Source organism: Homo sapiens, chromosome 8 (assembly GCF_000001405.40).
Source record: "Homo sapiens chromosome 8, GRCh38.p14 Primary Assembly".
Lineage (NCBI taxonomy): Eukaryota > Metazoa > Chordata > Mammalia > Primates > Hominidae > Homo > Homo sapiens.
The window spans coordinates 113,502,683-113,529,434 of record NC_000008.11 but is presented as its reverse complement, the minus strand read 5'-3'; the positions used below and the strand labels follow the sequence as shown (position 1 = coordinate 113,529,434).

At 38.6% G+C, this 26,752-nt stretch overlaps 1 annotated feature.

Moving 5' to 3' along the window:
- Positions 4,468 to 4,969: an enhancer, noted in NCBI's record as "H3K4me1 hESC enhancer chr8:114536695-114537196 (GRCh37/hg19 assembly coordinates)". NCBI's record gives its function as "activates a minimal SCP1, AML or CMV promoter by ChIP-STARR-seq in naive H9 embryonic stem cells {active_cell/tissue: H9 hESC(naive)}" and the evidence as "EXISTENCE:reporter gene assay evidence [ECO:0000049][PMID:30033119]".

Sequence of the window (26,752 nt, the reverse complement as noted above, 5' to 3'; positions counted from 1 at the left end):
AGGAATAATGTTAATCTTATGCTAAATGAACTATGTAGTAAATAGGAACATTCCCAATTAATGTTTCAAATTCCCTTTAACCCATTTAAAGTAGTTTCTGTTTCTTACTAAACACTGCCTGGCATGTACTTCAAAAGGGCAAAGAATGCATTCAAACAATTTATCTTCTGATGTAGTTTGTATATGTCCCTGCCCAAATTTCATGTTGAATTTTAATCCCCAATGCAGGAGGTGGGACCCAGTGAGGAGGTGTTTGGGTCATTGTGGTCAGATCCCCAACAGCTTGGTGGTGTCTTCTCCATAGTTAGTTCTCTTGGTATCTGTTTTTTTGAAAGTGTGAGATACCTCCTCCCCCCACTCTTGTATATTTCAAAACAGCTACAGGAAAAGATATGGAATGTTCCCAACGCAAATAAATGAAAAATATCCATAACCTAATTATCCTGATTTGATCATTATACATTATATACACGTGTCAAAATATCACATGTACTTCTTAAATATGTACAATTATTACCTTCTAATAAAAACAAAAACAACTTTGCAAAACAAACAAACCAAAAAGAGGAAGAAATAAAACAGGAGAGAGCTATAGATGCATCCAGACACTCACTGAAGCATTATGTGATATAATAGACCTTCAATAAACAGACAACAGGAGAATGAAAGCATATTATAATCATAGTATCACAGTGCAATTTCATTTGGTGATGACAGTTACAATTATGAAGACTATAGAAAAACACAGAAAATGTTGAGAATGTGAAAATGTATGAAATTTCTTATGAAGAAAAAGTCCCTCTATATAAAAATGTGCATATAAAACATACACATTTGGAGAAAAATTGGAAGAAAATATACAAAAAAAATAGCTTTATGGCAGCAGTGACATAAATAAAAGTCTTATGTTAATAATGCAATCTAGAAATATGTTAAATAAAGGACTAAAATTTTGAAAAAGTGAATTTTTTACTTACATAACTCAATAATGTATTGACTCAAAGGAAAAAAATACATAAATTGTATATATATAATTTCTCTTACATGATAAAGAATATGTTCAAGTAAACAGTGATACACTAAGGATATATGTATTAAAGTTGTGAACAAAATAGGAATGACTTCAATTACTGAGATGTTCTAGTTGACACAATAATTAAAAAGAGATGTGATGAAAACATAGTTGCAAGGAGAATAAAACAAATCACAATAAACATTTTGTAGATGTCATCTACCTAGAAAAACTCAGGTCATTTATAAGCCCACTTACGTAACAAAAAGAATCCAAATGGAAATAAAATGAAGATCAATAGATTTTTCACATGCCAACCTAATAGGGGGAAAATCCTGGACAACCACTCCCACGTAGAACATGTAAGTTTTACCATAGAATAGAATATTGTTCCCCAATGGTAAAAAAACTTTCCAGGAGAAATGTCCCAGTCAGAATCTGATTCACTCTCACTTCCAGCTCATCACCCAACAAATCCAAGTGACTCACAGAGTTTGGTCATTTCTTCCTTTTTTATTTATTCTGATATCACTTTGCTCTTATAAGAAGGGGAGTTCTGTGTCAACCTTCAATATTTCCTATAAATAATGTCCTTTCTGCCCTCTTTCTCATAGGTATAACTTCAGTGTTGTCACTGATAATATTATTTTCTAGTTTTCAGCTTAGGAAAATATTTTTCTAATTTTATATTCTTTCAGTCATTTCAGCTTGCACTTAAAAAAGGAAGGCCTGTCATTCATGTTTATTATATCTACATTATAAATGGTCCTTTTCAAGAAAAATAATAACAATTTCTTTGGTTTAAAATAATTTTTACCTAGAACTTTTAAATATTCATTTTAAGATATTAGGTTATTGCAGCAATATTCTTTCCTAATATTGTTAGCAGTGGCAAATATGTACATGTTTACAGCAACCTCAATTCTTGCCTCCTCAAAAAACATAATTTTACTGAGTGGCATAAGGCAGAGGAAGAGACCAAGTCAAGTTTTAGAGCAGGAGTAAAAGTTTATTAAAAAGTTTTAGAGCTGGAATGAAAGGAAATAAAGCACACTTGAAAGAGGGCAAAGTGAGCAACCAGAGAGATTCAAGTTCATGGTTTGATCTTTGACTTAGGTTTTAAATGTTGGCATGCTTCCAGCAGGGTGCATCCCTTCTTCCCTGATTCTTCCCTTGGGCTGGGCTGTCCAAAGGCACAGTGGCCTGCTAGCACTTGGGAGGGGCTGCATGTGCGGTGTGTTTACCAAAGTTGTGTTCATGCTCATTTAAGGCATTTTTCCCTTATCAGTCAAGTGTTACTAAAGGAAGGATATATACTTTATTAAACTCTGTGATTATGTCTCTTAATGCACATGCTTGAGCCCAATCATCCAACTCCTAAGATTTTAATAAAGGAGATGCTGATCAGCCATTTCAGGTGTTTATTTATTGGGAGACGGCCCTTCCTTGGCACCAGCTGTGACGGATTATTATTTTAAATAGTTTAACAACCATCTGGACATCACCTGATGGTAGTCTGACATTCCTGGTGATGGGAGAGAAGGGCACTTCTGCCCTGCTCACCTCTGACTACCTACCTACTGTAATATCTCCCCCCTCAAGTGTTCCAAGACCTCAGTTATTTGGGGAAAATGAATAAAGATCAGTCTTCTGTAACTGCTTCCTGCTGACAGAGGGGTGGTGGTGGTTGTTCTGTGGGTCTTGGCCTCTTGCTAGCTGTCAGAGCATGGTGACAGCTGTGGGTTGGTGAAAGCCGTATTCAGCCAGATCCAAGGGAGACAAGGGCAGGGTTTCACCTCTGTCATGTCCTCTAATGGGCAATCTAGGAGAATCTGTATAAAAGTGACTCTTAAATATTGAGAAGCTGGCATCCCTCACTGGGAATCATATAGAGTTTAATGGCCTGAAGGTGAGAGGAAAAAAAATCAGGTTGTGAGATTTAGAAGACTTCAGCCAAAAAGGACAAGTAGAAATGTCAAAGCAAATAATGGGGGTGAGGACAGTTTCAAAAATATTCCTGGACTGCCAAAATGTCCTGATAGCTGGTGGCTATAGTCATGCCTGCTAAGACTTGCATGCATGGGGCTGCTGGCCAATTCTAATATGTGCCCAGAGTTAGAAAATTGATCTAGAATTTTACATTGCCCATCCTTATTGTTTCTTCTGAGCTGCAGCCAGAGATCACTGGTTGGTTCACAGAAATAAGCTTGGTTAGTCTAAATTGCAGACAAAAACTCAAAAACAACTGTTGAGACTAGAATCTAATAACAGGTATACCATAGTTCATGAAATATAATTTTTCTCTCTTCATTCCTCATTTTATTAAAAATGAATTATGATAGGATTAATTCATTTGCAAAATAAGCTTTAGTATTATTATACTTCTCCTGATTATTTGCATAAAGCACAGCAAGGATAATTATTTGCCATATAAGCTCCTTTAAATTGTCTTTGATAGAACTTGATTCCATAAGAAAGCTCAGATAAGGCTTTTTAAAGATTTAGGCACAGCCAAGGGTTTCTGCCATCAAATCCCAGTATGGGTTGGCTAAATTAATCTGTTCTTGAGATCCCAAGATAACTTGAGGTTCCCAGGCCTGTCAGAAAGTGATATTCTTTGCTTACCACAGGTCAGACATCCTGTACAGGGATTGTGTAGACGAAGTATGAGACCAGTTTTCCCAAGGGGCTTCTATTGACTCTGTAAGTCAAGTTTGACTCCTTAAAGGAAAGCATGCCATTCTAGTCAAAGAATTGGTAAAATAACCAGTTTCTCTGACTGTGGCCTGTTGCAAAAGAAAATAAATTTTTATCAAAGTTAGGCAAATAACTATATTGCCATAAGTTCAGAATACTCACAAATAATTTCTAAATTCTGGAGAAATCAGGTAGAAAGAAAGAAATATGCTCCAATTTTGTTTATAGGAATATAAGTTACTTAATTGTTAAATCTGTAAATCATGCAAAAGAAAAGTTTTCTTGGCTCTGAAAAACAAAGGATCACTGGCATTTTAAGCAAAAAGTCGTAAAAAGATTGTATCAGCCTTCTGTTCAGTTCATGTGGTAAAATCCTGTTCTGCTTGATATTCATGAAAATTTTAGCTTTCTCGGGGAGGAGCCAAGAGGGCCGAGTAGGAACGGCTCCGGTCTACAGCTCCCAGCGTGAGCGACGCAGAAGATGGGTGATTTTTGCATTTCCATCTGAGGTACCGGGTTAATCTCACTAGGGAGTGCCAGTCAGTGGGCGCAGGTCAGTGGGTGCGCACACTGTGCGCGAGCCGAAGCAGGGCGAGGCATTGCCTCACTCGGGAAGCTCAAGGGGTCAGGGAGTTCCCTTTCCTAGTCAAAGAAAGTGGTGACAGACGGCAGCTGGAAAATTGGGTCACTCCCACCCAAATACTGCGCTTTTCCGACGGGCTTAATAAAAGGCGCACCAGGAGATTATATCCCGCACCTGGCTCTGAGGGTCCTATGCCCACGGAGTCTCGCTGATTGCTAGCACAGCAGTCTGAGATCAAACTGCAAGGCAGCAGCGAGGCTGGGGGAGGGGTGCCCGCCATTGCCCAGGCTTGCTTAGGTAAACAAAGCAGCCAGGAAGCTCGAACTGGTAGGAGCCCAACACAGCTCAAGGAGGCCTGCCTGCCTCTGTAGGTTCCACCTCTGGGGGCAGGGCACAGACAAACAAAAAGACAGCAGTAACCTCTGCAGACTTAAATGTCCCTGTCTGACAGCTTTGAAGAGAGCAGTGGTTCTCCCAGCACACAGCTGGAGATCTAAGAACAGGCAGACTGCCTCCTCAAGTGGGTCCCTGACCCTTGACCCCTGAGCAGCCTAGACAAACAGAGAGCCAAATCATCCTTTGGAGGAGGAGAGCTAAATCTTGAGTGAATTCCCATTCACAATTGCTTCAAAGAGAATAAAATACCTAGAAATCCAACTTACAAGAGATGTGAAGGACGTCTTCAAGGAGAACTACAAACCACTGCTCAACGAAATAAAAGAGGATACAAACAAATGGAAGAACATTCCATGCTCATGGGTAGGAAGAATAAATATCATGAAAATGGCCATACTGCCCAAGGTAATTTACAGATTCAATGCCATCCCCATCAAGCTACCAATGACTTTCTTCACAGAATTGGAAAAAACTACTTTAAAGTTCATATGGAACCAAAAAAGAGCCTGTATCACCAAGTCAATCCTGAGCCAAAAGAACAAAGCTGGAGGCATCATGCTACCTGACTTCAAACTACACTACAAGGCTACAGTAACCAAAACAGCATGGTACGGGTACCAAAACAGAGATATAGACCAATGGAACAGAACAGAGCCCTCGGAAATAACGCCACATATCTACAACTATCTGATCTTTGACAAATCTGAGAAAAATAAGCAATGGGGAAAGGATTCCCTATTTAATAAATGGCACTGGGAAAACTGGCTAGCCATATGTAGAAAGCTGAAACTGGATCCCTTCCTTACACCTGATACAAAAATTAATTCAAGATGGATTAAAGACTTAACCGTTAGACCTAAAACCATAAAAACCCTAAAAGAAAACCTAGGCAATACCTTTTAGGACATAGGCATGGGCAAGGACTTCATGTCTAAAACACCAAAAGCAATGGCAACAAAAGTCAAAATTGACAAATGGGATCTAATTAAACTAAGGAGCTTCTGCACAGCAAAAGAAACTACCATCAGAGTGAACAGGCAACCTACAAAATGGGAGAAAATTTTCGCAACCTACTCATCTGACAAAGGGCTAATATCCAGAATCTACAATGAACTCAAACAAATTTACAACAAAAAAACAAACAACCCCATCAAAAAGTGAGCAAAGGACATGAACAGACACTTCTCAACAGAAGACATTTATGCAGCCAAAAAACACATGAAAAAATGCTCACCATCACTGGCTATCAGAGAAATGCAAACCTAAACCACAATGAGATACCATTTCACACCAGTTAGAATGGCAATCATTAAAAAGTCAGGAAACAACAGGTGCTGGAGAGGATGTGGAGAAATAGGAACACTTTTACACTGTTGGTGGGACTGTAAACTAGTTCAACCATTGTGGAAGTCAGTGTGGTGATTCCTCAGGGATCTAGAACTAGAAATACCATTTGACCCAGCCATCCCATTACTGGGTATATACCCAAAGGACTATAAATCGTGCTGCCATAAAGACACATGCACATGTATGTTTATTGCGGCATTATTCACAATAGCAAAGACTTGGAACCAACCCAGATGTCCAACAATGATAGACTGGATTAAGAAAATGTGGCACATATACACCATGGAATACTATGCAGCCATAAAAAATGATGAGTTCATGGCCTTTGTAGGGACATGGATGAAACTGGAAATCATCATTCTCAGTAAACTATCGCAAGAACAAAAAACCAAACACTGCATATTCTCACTCATAGGTGGGAATTGAACAATGAGAACACATGGACACAGGAAGGGGAACATCACACTCTGGGGACTGTTGTGGGGTGGGGGGAGGGGGGAGGGATAGCATTGGGAGATATACCTAATGCTAAATGACGAGTTAGTGGGTGCAGCGCACCAGCATGGCACATGTATACATATGTAACTAACCTGCACATTGTGCACATGTACCCTAAAACTTAAAGTATAATAATAATAAATAAATAAATAAACAAAAAAGAAAAAAAAAGAAAATTTTAGCTTTCCATGAGAGTTCCAAAAGTTTTTCCACTGTTCCAAAGTCACAATCTCCAAAGTCATCAGAAATCTGGATTCAAGAGCACCTGTCAGAGTCCTATAGCTGATTATAAAACCACATTTTCAAGAGGATTAAAATAATAGAATTGTCTATGGATGACAGAAAGTCTTAGGACAGCCACAGTCAAAGAGACAATTGATAAGAAAATTTGATTACTCCCGTGGCACATGATAATTCCACAAAACAATTATAATCATTACTGGTAATGTATACCAAGTCATATCAGAATTATAGGAGTTTTACATAATTTTGGAACACATATCATTAACACATTTATACAAATACAGTCTAAAGAAAGCCAAATTTTACATTTGCATTAGTATAATACTGATGTTAAACCCAATTCTTAATAAAACCTATAGACAAATCTATTCAATCTTAATCAGTCTGACAATAAGGTAAGATTTGTATAAACCTTTTATAATCCTTTACAATTTTCTGTTAAAGGGAAAAATAATACTCTAAGAAAACCATATTGTGCTTTTATTCCAATGGCTATTTTATAGATAAACTGTATAATACCCCTTTAATTGTAGCTAATATTCACACAGATAAGATTTTTTTACAAGATTAGTCTTTTACAAACTTTCCACAAATTGCTCAAGCCTTAAGCTTTAGCCTGTCTAATGTAAAATAATTCTTTAACCCTCTAAACTAGAAAAAATAATCCACATTCCCATGCCTTCTTATGATCTTTTACCAAAAACACATTCTACTTTCTTTACGTGCCTTGAATGTAAAACTTTTCCCAGTAGTCTCAAGTACATGTTAAACTGTTAACTCTTACTTTTGGTAAAAATCTAAAGCAATTCTAATTATGTAGTAGGCTTGGAGGCTAAGATGCTAGATAGGAGCTCAGATAAGGTTTGACACATTTCAGCATAGCTAGGGGCCACAGCTAACTCTCTGTGTCCCAGGTCTTACCTACAAATTAATGGCTTCATAGCAGGCAAGTTGCTCAGTTAAAAGTCATAGTAGTTGTTTATGACCTTAAAGCATTTAGTAGACCTAATAACCTTTAATATTTCTTTTATAAATTCCCTTTCATGAAACTATTTATAACTTACACAGACCGTCTATGACATACTTGACCTTTCTGACTAATTCTAAGCATTCCTCTTTTTAAACAGTTATTTTATTTTAGGGCAAGAATTTACCATACAAGACCATTTTTTATACAAAATCTCTTTTCTTTATAACCTTCTTTGCCAAAAATATGTCTTTACCTTTATAACCTATGAATTAGACAAAAGTAATTTTCCTTCTGTTAGAAAGTAAAGGTTTGTACTGCATGTTGCTGTGGGGGTCCTTTGAAGGGGAAGCAGATAAGGAGGTTATCTATATACTATAGAAGTTATCCCCCTTCAAGAGTTGGCTCAGTTAGATTTTTGCTAGTCTGAATAAGTGTGGGCTATTTTAAAACCACTGAGGTAGAACTGTCCAGGTTAAAGTTATTGGTTTAAAATTTAGGTAGTTTTCTCAGGAAAAATAGATCTATTAGAGGAAAAGATGAATTTAGAGGTTGGGTAAATATTAAGCATGGACTCATTTTGGAAAATTTTTTTTTCCCCAAAGAAGTTTGAATATTTTTGTTTGGAGGGAGGGGGTAGCATTTGGCCCCATTACCCAACAAGATTTGGAGGAGAGTTGCTCAGAGAAGGAGATTAGCACAGAGCAGGCAGCTCTTGAATCCCAAAGGGAAATTTATAATTTTATTGTCACCTCCAGATTTTTTCTGGGCTTGGTCTTGTTGATGACAATGTCTGATTTGGATGCCAGCCAGAGCACAGAGCCCATTCAGCTCAAGGCTATCAAAGGTTGGGATTCTGAACTGGGGGCCCTTCAACCCTCAGGAAAGTCCTGTTTCCAGTGGTTGAGCTTGTGGCAAAGGGACAAGCCGTGCAGGGCTTTTTCCCATTTATCCCATTGGAACAATTTGGCTTCCAATGGCCTGGCTCCCCACATCAACGGCAGTTACCTGGGAATGTATTCTAAGGGCAACCTAGAGGGGGATGGAAAGCTTATAAACAGCCATTAGTTGAGCCTGTCTCTGGTTCCTGTGTTTCTCCATTTCCTCAGACTTGTCCTCCTTATTCTGCTTTTGGTTATCAAAGACTTAGGAGGCAAATTTGAGGATTTCCTGCATTATTAGGGCTATGGGTTCTAAGGCTGGCTTTTAAAATTTTCTCCCAGTATTTCAAAGGAAACCTAGTATTTTTTTTTAAGTTTTACAGGGGGTCAAATTTTTCCAAGTTTTTGAGGATGCATCAGAGGGGCATGTCATGTGGTATGGAGACATGATTACCTATCTGTGAAGAGAAGACAGAGGAGAAAGAAAAGACCAAGGACAAAAAAAGGTATCCCCTCTTACTTTCCTATTATCCTTAACAGGCTGTCCCCCAGTCATCCTTAAGGTACTGAAATGAAGCAGTCTTACCATGTACCCTTAACCTTGCTCCCGTCTCATCACAATTAGCCACTTGAGAACAGAGGAGGTACCAGAGTAAACAGGGGGCCTGCTATTCATCCTTGGGGTTCTGGAATATACCGGTCTTACCATGTACCCCTAAATTTGTCTTCAACTCTGTTCTAATGGTAATCTGATAGCCTGGGACCAACCTTTATCTCTGTCCTATGGGTCTTTTATGCCTGCATCTTTGGCTTGGCCTATACCCTTTCCTCCATTACCTTTTAGTGATTCTTGCTAGGAGCATTCTAGCAACAAAACGATTATCTCTTTTCTCAGATTCCCATTTCCCATGTTCTTTAAGTAGACTAGAAGCCTGTTTTTCTGTTAACTGCCACAAGGGGACTGGATTTCCCTACCTTTGAATATGAGGTTGAAGGACTTGATGCATATTGAGAAGGGTGCGGAATTAGAGAAATGGAGGCTACAGGAAAAGTGGGAGGAAGCAAGAAGAATACTCATGAAAATCTTCCATATGCTCATGAAAACAGCAGCCCTTGAATTTGAGAGATCAATGTTTATTTGCACATTTGACATTAAGGACTAACCTCTGGAAGACTTGGGGCTTGGGGTTAGAACTTGCAAATGGCAAAGGAAGAATTTTCCCTCCTCACAATGGGGTGCTAACTCAAAAAAAAAAAAAAAAAAAAAGAACAAGTAGGTTGGGTCCTTAAAGGGCCACAGAGTAAATCCCTATACTGGCAGACAAACTGCTTCAAAAGCCACCAGAAAACTTTGCCCTGGGGTGTAACAGGAATGAAAAACATATGGTAAGTCATGAGGAGCTGACAGAGCTGGGATTCTGATTAGTGCCTTTCTTGGCAACATGCCAGAAGATAAGGCAAGGGTTGGAGGTCTCTTCTGAGCTGGTAGGGTAAAAAGCCAGTATAAATCTCAGGGGATATCTGCAAGGGAGCCCATGTCTTTGCTGCTGAACAAACACAGCAAGAGCCACAGGCACAGAGACAATGGGGAATGTGTGCATTTAAGGCAGAGAAGAAAGTCACATGGCATGCAAAGTGAAACCAGAGAAAAGGCAGACTTGCCCCTGATGAGAATGATCTGGTGGGTGTGCAAGACCATTTCAGAAAACACAGAGAGAAAATAGCAGAATTGACACAGAAGACTTTGGAGAAAGGGCCAATTTTAGTTGAAAAACAGACGAAACCACAGACATTGCATGGTGTTAGGCTTTAGCCCTATCGCTCTCATGAGGCTGCTGTCCAGGAGGGCCATTAGTGTCTCAGGTCTACTTGGCGCAATCTCCAAGGTCCTTCCTACCCCCATAAGCCTTCCATCAGGGTGAACAGAGAAATCAGCCATGGAGAGCAGAGTCACTGTTGCTGGACACTAGTTGGTAGGCAGGAGAGCAAAAGGGGAGAAGAAAACCTTGTGCAGTGGTTGAATGCCTCCAGCCAAAGAAGGTGAGGTGTAGAGGTGTCTTACCAATAGGGAATGTATCAGAGTCAGGCAACACCAAGGTATGTTACCACTAGGGGCCATATCCAAGTAACATGGTATAAAAGTATGTTACCACTAGAGAATGTATCCGAGCCATGTGGCACCAAAGTATGTTAGCATCAGTAAATCCACATGGGTTTGAAGCAACCTCAACTCTTGCCTCCTCAGAAGAAATAATTTGACTGAGGGACATAAGGCAGTGGGAGAGACAGAGCCATGATTTAGAGCAGTAGTAACAGTTTTTTTATGGCTGCATAGTATTCCATGGTGTATGTGTGCTATGCAGCCATAAAAAACGATGAGTTCATGTCCTTTGTAGGGACATGGATGAAGCTGGAAACCATCGTTCTCAGCAAACTATCACAAGGACAAAAAACCAAACACCGCATGTTCTCACTCATAGGTGGGAATTGAACAATGAGAACACATGGACACAGGAAGGGGAACATCACACACCGGGGACTGTTGTGGGGTGGGGGGGAGGGGAGAGGGATAACATTAGGAGATATACCTAATGCTAAATGACAAGTTAATGGGTGCAGCACACCAACATGGCACATGTATACATATGTAACAAACCTGCGCGTTGTGCACATGTACCCTAAAACTTAAAGTATAATAATAATAATAATAAAAAGTTTTTTAAAAAAGTTTTAGAGCAGGAACTAAAGGAAGTAATATACACTTGGATGAGGGCCAGGCAGGGGACTTGAGATATTCAACTGCACAGTTTGACCTTTGAGTTGGAGTTGTATATGTTGGCATGCTTCTAGGCAGTTGTGTCCTTCTCCCCTGAGTCTTCCCTTGAGATGTGCTGTCCCCATGTCCAGTGGCCTGGCATACCAGCACTTGTGAGGGGTGGCATGCACAGTGTGTTTATGGAAGTTGCACATGTGCTCACTTGAGATGTTTTTCTCTTATTAGTAGAGTTTCTAGAGCAAAGTCATATACCTGTTGACCTCTGCCATTTTGCCTCTTAGTGTGCATGCTTGAGCCCACTCACTCAATTTTTGAGATTTCATTGGGAAGCTGCTTATCACCAGTATCAGGTGTTTATTTACTGGGAGACTGCATTTCCCTGGCACCAGCTGTGACCAACTATTATGTTAGAGAGACAGTTTAACAACCACCTGAACAGAGATGGTTACCTAACATTCCTGGTGAAAGTGGAAGGCCTTCTTCTGCCCTGCTCATCTCTAAGTACCAGCTGCAACAATATTACTTCCATATTATATTATTACAAATATTCCTGAGTAATTTTTCAAGATTGTATGTTTAATAGAATAAAAAATGAGGTGTGCATGTGTGTATGTTTTACTCAATGTGAGTATATACTTCAAAAAGTGAATTTAAGCCATTCATATGTATTTTTATAATACATTTATCTAAAATACTTTATGCTTTTTAAAAATAAAAGTTAATTTTCTTTTATTTTTCTTTCTGCTAACTTACTGTACTTTTAAAATAGAAATATGAACTATTTAACTTCCATCTCTAAGTAACTACCAATAACTGAAAGCATACTTTAATATATATTTTCCACTTATAATTAGAAATAATTGATAAATTTTTAGTCTCCTCCCATCCCACATATGAAGTCATTGAGATTTTCTTAACTCCTGAACATGATATAACCCTTATTGTTATTTAGATGTGTTATAAAAGATTTTGTACCATTTTTAAAATTAAATTTGACATTTGCCTATACTCTTACAAACCCATTAATAAAAATGGCCAATTCTTTATATTGAAGCCTTTTGTTAATGCTTTGTATGATGCTTTTAAAAAGAGTCATTTTGTTGTTTCAGCTTTCCTTATTTGGGTTTATTAGACTTGTGTATAAAAAATTGTCTTAATACATAAAACATGGATTAGCTATAGAGAAAATGCATTGATCATTAATATTTTTCTGTGAATTTTGTAAGCTTATTTTTTTCTGTCTGTTGTCATTTAATGTTGCACAAGAAAATCTAAGACTTTCTGAATTTTTCTTCCTTTGTAGATATAACTTGATTTTTTCTGGCTGGATACCTGTTCTTGAAATTGATAAGTGGGTATGTGTAACTGCTAGATGTATATAATTTTCATTAACTTTGTTTGGTATATGGTGAGTTTTTTGAATCTGTAGTCTCTTATTTTTTAGTCTGAAAAAAATTTATTTTTTAATTGCATCCATGTATGCATTCGCTTTTATTTTTTCTTCAGATCATCAGTTATCTGAAGTTTGTATGTTCATTCTTGTGCTTCCTTAGGTGTGGTCAGAACTGTAATACCTTTCTTCTCTTTGTCTTTTCCTTTTGTATTCTGAGAATGCATCATTATATTAGCCCTCTACCTCATTGTACTTGCTTCTTACTACTATAATTCTACTCCTTACTACTGTTATTGCTGTTCTGAACCCTGTGATGGCATTTGTTACTAGTTCCATAACATAGTTCTGTGTCATAGGCAGTTCTTCAGATTCTTAAGGCAGTACTCAATCATCTGGTTTTTCAACTGTAGTTTATTGAAAGTTATATTTTCTCAAATTTTACTGAAAAGCACAAAATAAATATTTCTAAAATTCTCTACTGAATCTTATTTGAATTATTTTCAAGAGTTTGTTCTCCCTATCCTCATTGTGTACTAGTTTCTCTCATCCTGGATCTCATTACAGTATTTTTTCATAAATCTTATTGTACACCAAAAATAAAATTCTGAGCACCCCAATTGACTCAATGGACACCCCTCTCAGCCAAGGGGATTCCAAAGAAACCTGAAAAAAGTAGTTCAGGCATGACAAGAAGGAGGATTGAACTTGTCTCATTTTACTTTACCCCTTTTAGAGTTTAGACACAACTGACCAGCATTAATATGAAAATAGAGATTTTAACACTGACAGAACAGATAGCTTGTAGCAATAAGATGCCAACTACAATCTGACTCTGGTATAATTTTACATGACCAATAACAGACTCTAAAGGAAATCAAAGTATTTTTTACCAAAATATATTTCTTTGACTTGTTTTGAAATGGCTCTGCAAAGCCATCTCTTGTGGGGAAATTTACATTATGTAGCAAATCCTCTTCCCTTTCCAGGTCTTTTCCTGATCCAAGAGAGATTTAACTAAAAATCTGATACCTTTTAACATCAGATAGGAGACACCATCTATTCTTTCTGAAGCATGCTACCTGCAGGATTCATCTACATACAAATAACTTTGGCTTCAGTCACCCACTACCTAATCTTGAACCCAGGCATTCCTTTCTGCTGACTTCAATTCTTTAGGAAAAGCTTAATTCTTCCAACAAATTACCAACCAGAAAATCTTAGAAACCACCTATGATGTGGAAGGCTTCACTGTGAGATGTCCCACCTGTCAGGCCTCTGAGCCCAAGCAAAGCCATTGCATCCCCTGTGACTTGCATGTATAGGCCTATATGGCCTGAAGTAACTGAAGAATCACAAAAGAAGTGAATATGCCTTGCCCCACCTTAACTGATGATATTCCACCACAAAAGAAGTGTAAATGGCTGGTCCATGCCTTAACTGATGACATTACCTTGTGAAAGTCCTTTTCCTGGCTCATCCTGGCTCAAAAAGCACCACCACTGAGCACCTTGCTACCCCCACTCCTGCCTGCCAGAGAACAAACCCCCTTTGACTATAATTTTCCTTTACCTACCCAAATCCTATAAAACGGCCCCACCCTTATCTCCCTTTGCTGACTCTTTTCAGACTCAGCCCACCTGCACCCAGGTGAAATAAACAGCCATGTTGCTCACACAAAGCCTGTTCGGTGGTCTCTTCACACGGACACGTATGAAATTTGGTGCCGTGACTCGGATCGGGGGACCTCCCTTGGGAGATCAATCCCCTGTCCTCCTGTTCTTTGCTCCATGAGAAAGATCCACCTATGACCTCAGGTCCTCAGACCGACCAGCCCAGGGAACATCTCACCAATTTTAAATCAGGTAAGCAGCCTCTTCTTACTCTCTTCTCCAATCTCTCTCACTGTCCCTCAACCACTTTCTTCTTTCCACTCTTCAATCTCTCCCTTCTCTTAATTTCAATTCCTTTCGTTTTCTGGGAGAGACAACGGAGACACGTTTTATCTGTTGACCCAAAACTCCGGCGCCGGTCACTGACTGGGAAGGCAGCCTTCCCTTGGTGTTTAATCATTTCAGGGACACCTCTCTGATTATTCACCCACGTTTCAAAGGTGTCAGACCACGCAGGGACACCTGCCTTGGTCCTTCACCCTTAGCGGCAAGTCCTGCTTTTCTGGGGAAGGGGCAAGTACCCCAACCCCTTCTCTCCTTGTCTCTACCCCTTCTCTGCTTTCCTGGGGCAGGGGCAAGTACCCATCAACCCCTTCTCCTTCACCCTTAGCAGCAAGTCCCGGTTTTCTACAGGGCAAGAACCCCCAATCCCTTATTTCCGTGCCCCAACCTCTTATCTCTGTGCCCCAATCCCTTATTTCCACACCCTGACCTCTTATCTCTGTCCCCCAATCCCTTATTTCCGCACCCCAACCTTGTATCTCTGTGCCCCAATCCCTTATTTCCGTGCCCTGACCCCTTATTTCCATGACCTGACCCCTTATTTCTGTGCCCTGACCCCTTATTTCTGCACCCCATCCCTAATTTCCACACCCTGACCTCTTATCTCTGCACCCCAACCCCTTTTCCCACTTTTCTGGAAGGTAAGAACCCCCGAACCCCTTCCCTCCATTTCTCTACTCTCTCTTTTCTCTAGGCTTGCTTCCTTCACTATAGGCAACCTTCCACTCTCCATTCCTCCTTCTACTCCCTTGGCCTGTGTTCTCAAAAACTTAAAACCTCTTCAACTCACACCTGACCTAAAACCTAAATGCCTTATTTTCTTCTGCAATGCCGCTTGACCCCAATAAAATCTCGGCAGTAGTTCCAAATAGCCAGAAAATGGCACTTTGAATTTTTCCATCCTGTAAGATCTAAATAATTCTTGTCACAAAATAGGCAAACAGTCTGAGGTGCCTGACGTCCAGGCATTCTTTTACACATCAGTCCCTTCCTAGTCTCTGTGCCCAGTGCAACTCATCCCAAATCTTCCTTCTTTCCCTCCCACCTGTCCCCTCAGTCCCAACCCCAAGCGTCATGAGTCTTTCTAATCTTCCTTTTCTACAGACCCATCTGACCTCTCCCCTCCTTGCCAGGCTGAGCTAGGTCCCAATTCTTCCTCAGCCTCTGCTCCTCCACCCTATAATCTTTTTATCGCCTCCCCTCCTCACACCTGGTCAGGCTTACAGTTTCGTTTCGTGACTAGCCCTCCCCCACCTGCCCAGCAATTTACTCTTAAAAAGGTGGCTGGAGCTAAAGGCATAGTCAAGGTTAATGCTCCTTTTCCTTTATCCCAAATCAGATAGCGTTTAGGCTCTTTTTCATCGAACATAAAAATCCAGCCCAGTTCATGACTTGTTTGGCAGCAACCCTGAGACACTTTACAGCCCTAGACCCTAAAAAGTCAAAAGGCCGTCTTATTCTCAAAATACATTTTATTACCCAATCTGCTCCCGACATTAAATAAAACTCCAAAAATTAAATTCCGGCCCTCAAACCCCACAACAGGATTTAATTAACCTCGCCTTCAAGGTGTACAATAATAAAAAAAAGTTGCAATTCCTTGCCTCCACTGTGAGACAAACCCCAGCCACATCTCCAGCACACAAGAACTTCCAAACGCCTGAACCGCAGCGGCCAGGCATTCCTCCAGAACCTCCTCCCACAGGAGCTTGCTACACATGCCGGAAATCGGGCCACTGGGCCAAGGAATGCCCGCAGCCCGGGATTCCTCCTAAGCCGCGTCCCATCTGTGTGGGACCCCACTGAAAATCGGACTGTTCAACTCACCTGGCAGCCACTACCAGAGCCCCTGGAACTCTGGCCCAAGGCTGTCTGACTGACTCCTTCCCAGATCTTCTCGGCTTAGCGGCTGAAGACACACTGCCCGATCGCCTTGGAAGCCCTCTAGACCATCACAGACGCAGAGTTTCGGGTAACTCTCACAGTGGAAGGTAAGCCCGTCCCCTTCTTAATCAATACGGAGGCTACCCACTCCACATTACCTTCTTTTCAAGGGCCTGTTTCCCTTGCCTCCATAACTGTTGTGGGTATTGACGGCCAGGCTTCTAAACCTCTTAAAACTCCCCAACTCTGCTGCCAACTTAGACAACACTCTTTTAAGCACTCCTTTTTAGTTATCCCCACCTGCCCAGTTCCCTTATTAGGCTGAGACACTTTAACTAAATTATCTGCTTCCCTGACTATTCCTGGACTACAGCTATATCTCATTGTCGCCCTTCTTCCCTATCCAAAGCCTCCTTTGCATCCTCCTCTTGTATCCCCCCACCTTAACCCACAAGTATAAGATACCTCTACTCCCTCCTTGGCGACCGATCATGCACCCCTTACCATCTCATTAAAACCTAATCACCCTTACCCCACTCAACGCCAATATCCCATCCCGCAGCACGCTTTAAAAAGATTAAAGCCTGTTATCACTCGCCTGCTACAGCATGGCCTTTTAAAGCCTATAAACTCTCCTTACAATTCCCCCATTTTACCTGTCGTAAAACCAGACAAGCCTTACAAGTTAGTTCAGGATCTGCACCTTATCAACCAAATTGTTTTGTCTATCCACCCCATGGTGCCAAACCCATATACTCTCCTATCCTCAATACCTGCCTCTATAACCCATTATTCTGTTCTAGATCTCAAACATGCTTTCTTTACTATTCCTTTGCACTCTTAATCCCAGCCTCTCTTCATTTTCACTTGGACTGACCCTGACACCCATCAAGCTGAGCAAATTACCTAGGCTGTACTGCTGCAAAGCTTCACAGACAGCCCCCATTACTTCAATCAAGCCCAAATTTCTTCCTCATCTGTTACCTATCTCAGCATAATTCTCATAAAAACACACGTGCTCTCCCTGCCAATCGTGTCCGACTGATTTCTCAAACCCCAGCACCTTCTACAAAACAACTCCTTTCCTTCCTAGGCATGGTTAGCATGGTCAGAATTCTTACACAAGAGCCAGGACCACACCCTGTAGCCTTTCTGTCCAAACAACTTGACCTTACTGTTTTAGCCTAGCCCTCATGTCTGTGTGCAGCGGCTGCCACTGCATTAATACTTTTAGAGGCCCTCTAAATCACAAACTATGCTCAACTCACTCTCTACAGTTCTCATAACTTCCAAAAATCTATTTTCTTCCTCATACCTGACACATATACTTTCTGCTTCCCGGCTCCTTCAGCTGTACTCACTCTTTGTTGAGTCTCCCACAATTACCATTGTTCCTGGCCCAGACTTCAATCCGGCCTCCCACATTATTCCTGATACCACACCTGACCCCCATGACTGTATCTCTCTGATCCACCTGACATTCACCCCATTTCCCCAAATTTCCTTCTTTCCTGTTCCTCACCCTGATCACACTTGATTTATTGATGGCGGTTCCACCAGGCCTAATCGCCACACACCAGCAAAGGCAGGTTATGCTATAGTACAAGTCACTAGCCTGCCTCTTAAAACCTCTCATTTCCTTTCCATCATGGAAATCTATCCTCAAGGAAATAATTTCTCAGTGTTCCATCTGCTATTCTACTACTCCTCAGGGATTATTCAGGCCCCCTCCCTTCCCTACACATCAAGCTTGAGGATTTGCCCCACCCAGGACTGGCAAATTAGCTTTACTCAACATGCCCTGAGTCAGATAACTAAAATACCTCTTAGTCTAGGTAGATACTTTCACTGGATAGGTAGAGGCCTTTCCTACAGGGTCTGAGAAGGCCACCACAGTCATTTCTTCCCTTCTGTCAGACATAATTCCTCAGTTTAGCCTTCCCACCTCAATACAGTCTGATAACAGATGAGCCTTTATTAGTCAAATCAGCCAAGCAGATTTTCAGGCTCTTAGTATTCAGTGAAACTTTTATATCCCTTACGGTCCTCCGTCTTCAAGAAAAGTAGAATGGACTAAAGGTCTTTTAAAAACACACCTCACCAAGCTCAGCCACCAACTTAAAAAGGACTGGACAATACTTTTACCACTTTCCCTTCTCAGAATTCAGGCCTGTCCTCGGAATGCTACAGGGTACAGCCCATTTGAGCTCCTGTATAGACGCTCCTTTTTATTCTCAGCTACTCATACATGCCCTGCTCTTGTTTACACTGCTGGTTTACACTGTTTTTCCAAGCCATCACAGCTGATATCTCCTGGTGCTATCCCCAAACTGCCACTCTTAACTCTTGAAGTAAATAAATAATCTTTGCTGGCAGGACTATGCTGAATCTCCTTAGGCACTCTCTAATGAGATATCCTGAGTCATCCCAATTCTTAGACCTTTTATACCTGTTTTTCTCCTTCTGTTATTCCATTTAGTTTCTCAATTCATTCAAAACCGTATCCAGGCAATCACCAATCATTCTATACGACAAATGTTTCTTCTAACATCCCCACAATATCACCCATTACCACAAGACCTCCCTTCAGCTTAATCTCTCCCACTCTAGGTTCCCACGCCACCCCTAATCCTGCTTGAAGCAGCCCTGAGAAACATCGCCCATTCTCTCTCTCGGATGCACATGAAACCACCTCTCTAGGCTGAACCAATGTATACCTTACATATATTGATGTATATCTTTGCCTATAACTTCTGACTCCCTAAAATGTATAAAATCAAGCTGTAACCCAACCACTTTAGACACATGTTCATAGGGCCCCCTGACGCTGTATCATGGGTTAAGATCCTCACATTTGGCTCAGAATAAACATCTTCAAATATTTTACAGAGTTTGATTTCTTTGGTCAACACTATGAAGCTTCTAAATTTTCTTTTTAATTTGTTTTATTTTTAATTTTGAAATATATGTGTGCAGTCATTTGACAACACTTTAAAGTGTCAAGGCCTTTTCTTTGGAAATGGCTTTTAAAATTGAATTCAAGCTTATTTTAGCTTATCTTTTAAAATAATCTACACCCATATTGCATCATGGACTCTTTTCAGTTTCAGTTGTAGAACAAGAACCTAAAGAACTCAAGAAGCATTTTAAATAGAGACTCAGTCTATACTTTTATAAACACATGCCAAATCATTTAAAGTTATCTTGCTCACACTTAATTTGACAGCAACTATTTTTTATCAGCACGTTTTCATTTAGTCTTTCAAAATATTCTATTTAATATTTACCAGGATAACTGTTTTCACAACGTTATTTGAATGGTTGATATTGTATCTAGTTAACCTACACATTTATAATAAAAAAACTCAATTAGAATAAACCAAGGGGAAAACCACAAGTAGGTTTCAAGAGACACAGATTTCAGAAAAATGGGGTTCAGTGTTCAGAAGTTAAAAGTTAAGGTCTTGCTTATATAAGGAGAATACAAATTTAATGGAATTACAACATTTTCTATACAACACTGATTTGTGAGTTATAAAAATTTAATTATTTATCGTCTGTTTCATTTTCTTTTTACAATTTAAAAGACTACATTTAACATTCACTCTTAAGATATTGTGATAGCCATGAAGTCTTTATGTGAAAAAGGTAAGAGGGAAGTTCACCTATAATAAAGATCAACAGTGAAGAGAGAAAAGGTCTTCCCTGGAACTCTTTAGTCATTTATAGCATTTTACAAACCAATGCAGTTAAAAAATAAAGCTCATCTATAATTAAAGAAACAAAATTACAGCTGCCTAGGGGACAGGTGCCTAGGTTACAGCTGTCTGCCAGGTGACTCAGGACTCATCACATTCCTTTAAGGCTCAAAATAACTTACAGGTTCAACAGCTTAGATTTTTATTTACTTATTTTCACACTTTGAGTATATACTAGATAAAATATCATGCACCTTTCTTAACATGAAGCATAGCATGCGACTATGCAGAGTGGAGTAGAAGGCTATGTCTTTTAAAGTGAGTAACAAATCGGTAAAGTAGAGTTCATATTTAGCCAAAAAGAGATTGTTTAAAGCCCAAAAGGAATATCAAAAATAAAAATGCATAAGCAAAATACTGTATGCTAGCTGCTGAGACTTTTGTTAACATTGGAGAATCACTCCATTTGTTTTTTATACCTCAGCATTGCCCTTGTTCTATAAACTTATATGAAATAAAAAGCAAAGAAAATTTATTCAGTTAATCAAGATATGCAAAACTCAAACTCACATTATTTTCTTATTAACGTTCTAACAAATATAATACTTATTTTCTGTCACAGGCAACCACTTTTTTAAAAAATTAATTATTAGCTTATGAATATACCATCATTATGTTAACTGTTGATTTGACAATTTTTGACAGTGAGGTGATTCATATTCCCAAAATACACCTCAAGTTGAGGTCAGTCTCCAAAAAAGTATATCAATTTTTACATAGAAAGATGTAAAAGAGATTTATTAACATAAAAGAAAGAATCAAAGAAGAAAGAAAGGAAAAACTTCTGGGACACTCTTTAACTTAAAAATATTCATCTCCTGGAAGATCATCTTTTGTCCTGATAGTTCCTAATTGGGTCAGGACCTCTGCTGACCAGATCTCCAGTGAAGCTGATACAAATTATTATTATTATTATTATTTTTATTAACAAAAAAATTTAAATATTCTAAAAATACTCATAAGGGCAGACATCAAATGAATAAATGTCGATTCAAGAAAATCTTTGAATATTTGGTAAGAAATATGAGAAGCTGATATTTGAACCAATGCTGATTTCTGCTTCCGAGTTCCAGACTACTTCAGTCAGCAGTATAGGTGGGTGCCTCTCCACCCCAACCAGCTCCCTGCTAGAGGGCTTCTTTCCTAGGAGAAACAGAACTTTAGCATTTCTCATCCTCTCCCCCAGCCTACTGTAGTTGAGTAGTTGGGGCTCTCTTCTTTTACAAAGCCTCCCTCACATGGAAGTTCAACCTGTGCTGTAAACTGCTGAGAATACCAAGTTCCAGATAACCCTTCCCCTGGCTCTTGAGATGGTGGGAGTTTTTGTTTTTCTGTTTTGTTGTTGTTGTTTCTTTCTTGCTTTTTTTGTTTGTTTGTTTGTTTGTTTTTGAGATGGAGCCTCGCTTTTTTGCCCAGGCTGTAATGCAGAGGTGCGATCTTGGCTCACTGCAAGCTCAGCCTCCGGGGTTCACCCGTTCTCCTGCCTCAGCCTCCCGAGTAGCTGGGATTACAGGCGCCCACCACAATGCCTGGCTTTTTTTTTTTTTTTTTTGTATTTTTAGTAGAGACAGGGTTTCACCATGTTAGTCAGGATAGTCTCAATCTCCTGACCTCATGATCATACCAGCAGAGGCAAACTGAGGAAACCTCAGTCTGTTCTCCCACTTCACTGAGAGTTCAGCTTCTAGAATGGAGGTGACTTTTAGAGGGAAATATAAGTAAAGTTTACAGAAGACCATTGGTTTTCACTGAGCTCCTGCACTAGGTTCAACAGACCAAACTAAAATGGAATAATTCATGCTAAAATTCCATGTCACCAAACTGAGAAATCAGGAGAGTGAGACATCAAAGCCAGTTTTAGCCAGCATGATAAGGAAGTCCTCTCCGCTTTAATCTTTACAAGGAAAGTACTTTGAAATAATCAATCTGCTTTTTGTTTTCTGTTTCTGCTTTCTCCAGTCCTTCTCTCTGTATAAAACAACCTCCTCTGCTCAGCTTATTTGAAACTCATTCTGTTTTACAAAATGAGATGTTGCCCAATTCTGGACTCACAAATGAAAATCAATTAAGATATTTAAGCTATACTTTTAATAATTTTGCCACTTGACAGAATTTTCCATTGATCCTACCCCCAGCTTGAGAACATTGACTCAGAGATTTTGCAGGAGGTGAGGGGAATATTAGAGAAACAAGCAATAAAACGGAGCCCAATCTCTTCCTGAAGGAGCTGACTTCATTTTCAACAGAGCATGGAAAAGTTTAAACCTAAGAATACAAATAAAAATAATGGAGGCTGTAGTCAAGTGAATTTGGAGATTTGTGGATTTAATGAAGATACAGTTTAGATTTTTGGCCAGCTATTTGGTAGGGAAAAAGGAAGGGGATCAGGAAATAAGACATTTGGGAGAAGCCCTCCTAAGATCAGAGCAAATTAACACTAACCTCAGAAACTGTTGTCTGAAGGAGCCACACAATGTGATTAGATTACTTTGTAGAGGAATTTATGCCCCAGAGCACTTTTATAAACAATAGTGTAATGTACCAGCAATTAGTGGAGTTTAACATCTGAGTATGGTCTGGAAGAGAGAATGGGAGACCTGCCAAAACTACTGTTATCTCAGGGTGACTGTGGGTATACCCAAAGCTTCATTTCCCAGAGGAACAACTTCAAAGAGACTTAGCACTAAGTGTGTTTGTATGTGGGAGGGTTTATGGGGAGGAATAGATTCACTAATGCAGCTGGTCAATAAACAGATACAAAAGCAAATAAAAATAACAAGCCTAAGAAAGGAGGGAACTAGTACCCAAAATCGTTAAAATATATTATTGAAAAAGTCCAGTTTTATTTGATTCCTATTCCTATTGTTTCCTGTCTTTGATTCATATTCCTATCGTTTCCTATTGTTTTCCTATCTGGGCTTATTAAGCCATTTGTCCGGTGCCACCAAAGGAAGCAATAGGACTCGCTCATACACTCGCTTTGCCTTTTGGTTGAGATCAGGTTTTGAGTTGGTTTTGAGTCTGTTTTGCCTGAATGCACTCCTCTTTGGGTTGTCCAAAATTTATCTCCACTTGTTTGCGTATTTGTCTTATTCCTTTTGATACCATTTGATACAATGTAAACTTAAAAATGGGAGATATTGGGTCCATTCCTGCTAAGAGGCCTCTGGGAAGGAAAAATATTTTTTTAGGAGTTCAATGGTTAAAGATCAGCTTAATTAAAGCTAACACGTAAGATGTGTATATGTATGTGTGCATGTGTGCATGCTTATATTTAAAAGGCCTTCATGATTTTGTTTTTATTTCTCTCCTAGAACCTTGTCTTTTTTAGCAAAAGTGTTTTTTCATCTCAGTTGACTGAATTCTGTTTTCTTCATTAATATCTATTACAACAGAAGCTACTCTGGGGTTTTTAAGGAAAAGCGTAAATTAGACACTTAGAAATGTCTTTGTTTAGAAAAAAAAATTTAAGTGCACTGTAAAAGCATCACATGGTGTAGCCTCATAATAATTCTCCCTGTTTGAAAACCCAGGATTCAGTGTGGGCTCTGCTCAGAGCTCAAAGATCCAGTTAAAAGATAGGAAAAAAGAGGTCTTATGAATCTATAAAATGTACTTCCATTGGCATGCCTAATATGTCTATGTATTTATGTCTTGTGTATACCATGTTTCACTACTGAAAATATATAAAAGAGTTGTAATTAATTGGCTCAAAGAAAAATAATAGCGCACTGAATTATTTTAATAGAGAAAAGACAAGACTGGTCAAATGCTTTTTCAAGTTTATGTGACCTAAATAAAATATTTGATAAATAAGCTAGTTTTAAAATTATTGGTAAAGTAATATTAAAAATGTCTTAAGAGTTGCCAGCATACATTTTTGTTTGCATTTATTGATCAGTAATATCTCTGCCAAATACTGTAAGGTGTCAAAATTTGGCATGGAGGCTTCAAAGCTATAACTCAGCCCAAACAGAATGAACCTTGCTTGTGTAATTTTATAATAACTGAAATATTAATATTGGTTTAATGAAGATAGCTACATCTTGAATTATTTAGTAAAATACCCTAACTTCTAATCTTGTGGGCTTAGACAGTCTAGTCCACAAATATGAAGGAAGTTTGTTCTGGGAAACGACTGTTACCATCTTTTTTTCAAAGCTAAACTATAAACTAAGTTAATCAACAAGAAACATTTGTAGGTTAGAAGCAAGATGGAGTCAGTTAGGTCAGATCATTTTCCCTGTCTCAGTTATAACTTTGCAATGGCAGTTTCATAACTTTAAATGATGACTATTACAGTTTTCATAAATGATCCAGGTGAATGATTAAAATAAATAATTAGATAAATGTAATGGGATGAATACTCATAAACAAACTTGTCGTAATTTAGAATCTAAAGTTATACTAAATTAAACAATAGATTTCTCATTATTTGGGTATTTTCCAATAAAATATATTACATGAAAATATTCTTTCTAAAAATTATGTCCTTTTTAAAGGAAAACTAATTTTTGTGTAATTCAAAGCTTATATATAAAACAAGGTTAAAGAAACCAGGAAATAAGAGTGATATAAAGAAAGCTATATAAATAAAGATCATTTTAAAGATTATTAGTAAAATTAAAATATCTTCAAAAATGTAAACATTTGGTCTAAATTACGCAGGTCAAATATTAAGTTTGCTAAATGCTTTAGTTCATAAACTGCTTCTTTGTCTTAAAACTTGTTCAATTTATTTTGGAGTGTTAAATTCTAGATAAGTCCTGGGGCACATGGAGTTAGATGCTGGAATAAGTCAGACCTTGTCTGCACTTCTGTCTAGGTCCTAGGCTCCACACCTAGTACATAATTAAAATCCCAGACTTACCGAGGTTTTCACCAAAAGTAAAGGTTGCCTAGAATTAACACTGTAACATGTATTTAAGACTATTGGAGAAACAGTTTACATGCAAGGTGTGTAAGGAAAGTAATACATGCTTTTGTTAAAAAGGTTATAAGGAGACATGAGAATGCGGATTTTTGCATAGATTAAAAGGTTAAAGGATTGTTTTAAGTTGGATAAAATAAAGATGACAGTTTAAGCAAGTTGTGGGAGGTTAATTATAAAGGAAATTCTGTGTGTAAACATATTGGCTAAAGTTAAAGGGTATCATCCAGTTTTTCTGTAAATTGAGCATTAAAATAAAAGCACAATGGTTTTCTCTTAGAGCACTAACCTGCTCTTTTACAAAAATTGAAAAGGGCTATAAAAGATCTATAAAAATCTTTATGGTCAAACATTAAAATTGTGTAAATATGTCTATAATATTTTACTAAGAATTGGGTTTAACGTTAATAGTATACTAATGTAAAAGTGAAATTTGGCTTATTTGGTATAAAAATTATACAGACAGCATTGTCAAATATAAAATGGCATTTGGCTTTCTTTGGGCTATGTTATATAAATATGTTAATGATATGTGTTCCAAAGTTATGGGAGACTTCTATAATTCTGATATATCTTAGTGTATGCTATCAGTAATAATTATAATTGTTATGTTAAATTATTGTGTGCCACAAAGGTACAGACTTCCTTGTCAATTTTGTCTTTAACTATGGATACTTTAAACTTTTTGTCATCCATAAACAGCGGTTGTCTTGTTTTGTTCCTCTTTAGAAGGTGGTTTTATAATAAGCTATGAAGCTCTAATGGGTGCTCTTGAATGCATGTTTCCAAAAACTTTGGAGATTTTGACATCCAAATAGAGGGAAAATGTTTAGAACTCTTCAAGAGCTAAAATGTTCATTAATATCAAGCAGGACAGGAATTAACTGCATGAACTGAGCTAATAGGAGACTGAAGGGATCTTTTTGACTTTTTGCTTAAAATGTTGCTAATCCTTTGTTTTGCATTTCAGAGTCAAGGAAATTCTTCTTTTGAGTTATAACAGCAATTGACAACTAAGTAACGAATACTTCTATGAACAAAATTTGGAGCAAATTTTTTCTCTCTACCTGATTCTCCATCCAGAATTTGGAAACTGTTTGTGAGCATTCTTAAATTATGGCAATGTAGTTATTTGCAAAAGTGCAATAAGAATCTGGTTTTTTGTTGGTTGGTTGGTTGGTTGGTTTTTTAACAGGACAAAATTGGAAAAGTTCGTTCTTTTACCAAGGCTTTGAATGGAATGGTGCACTTTCCTTTAAGGAATCAAACTTGACTTATGGAGCCAATAAATCCCTTGGAAAACTGGCCTCATATTTTGTGTACACAGTCCCTGTACAGGGTTTCTAATCTGCAGTAAGTAAAGAATGTCACTTTCTGACAGGCTGGAAACCCCAAGTTATCTTGAGACCTGAAGAGGAGAGGAATTTGCCCAACT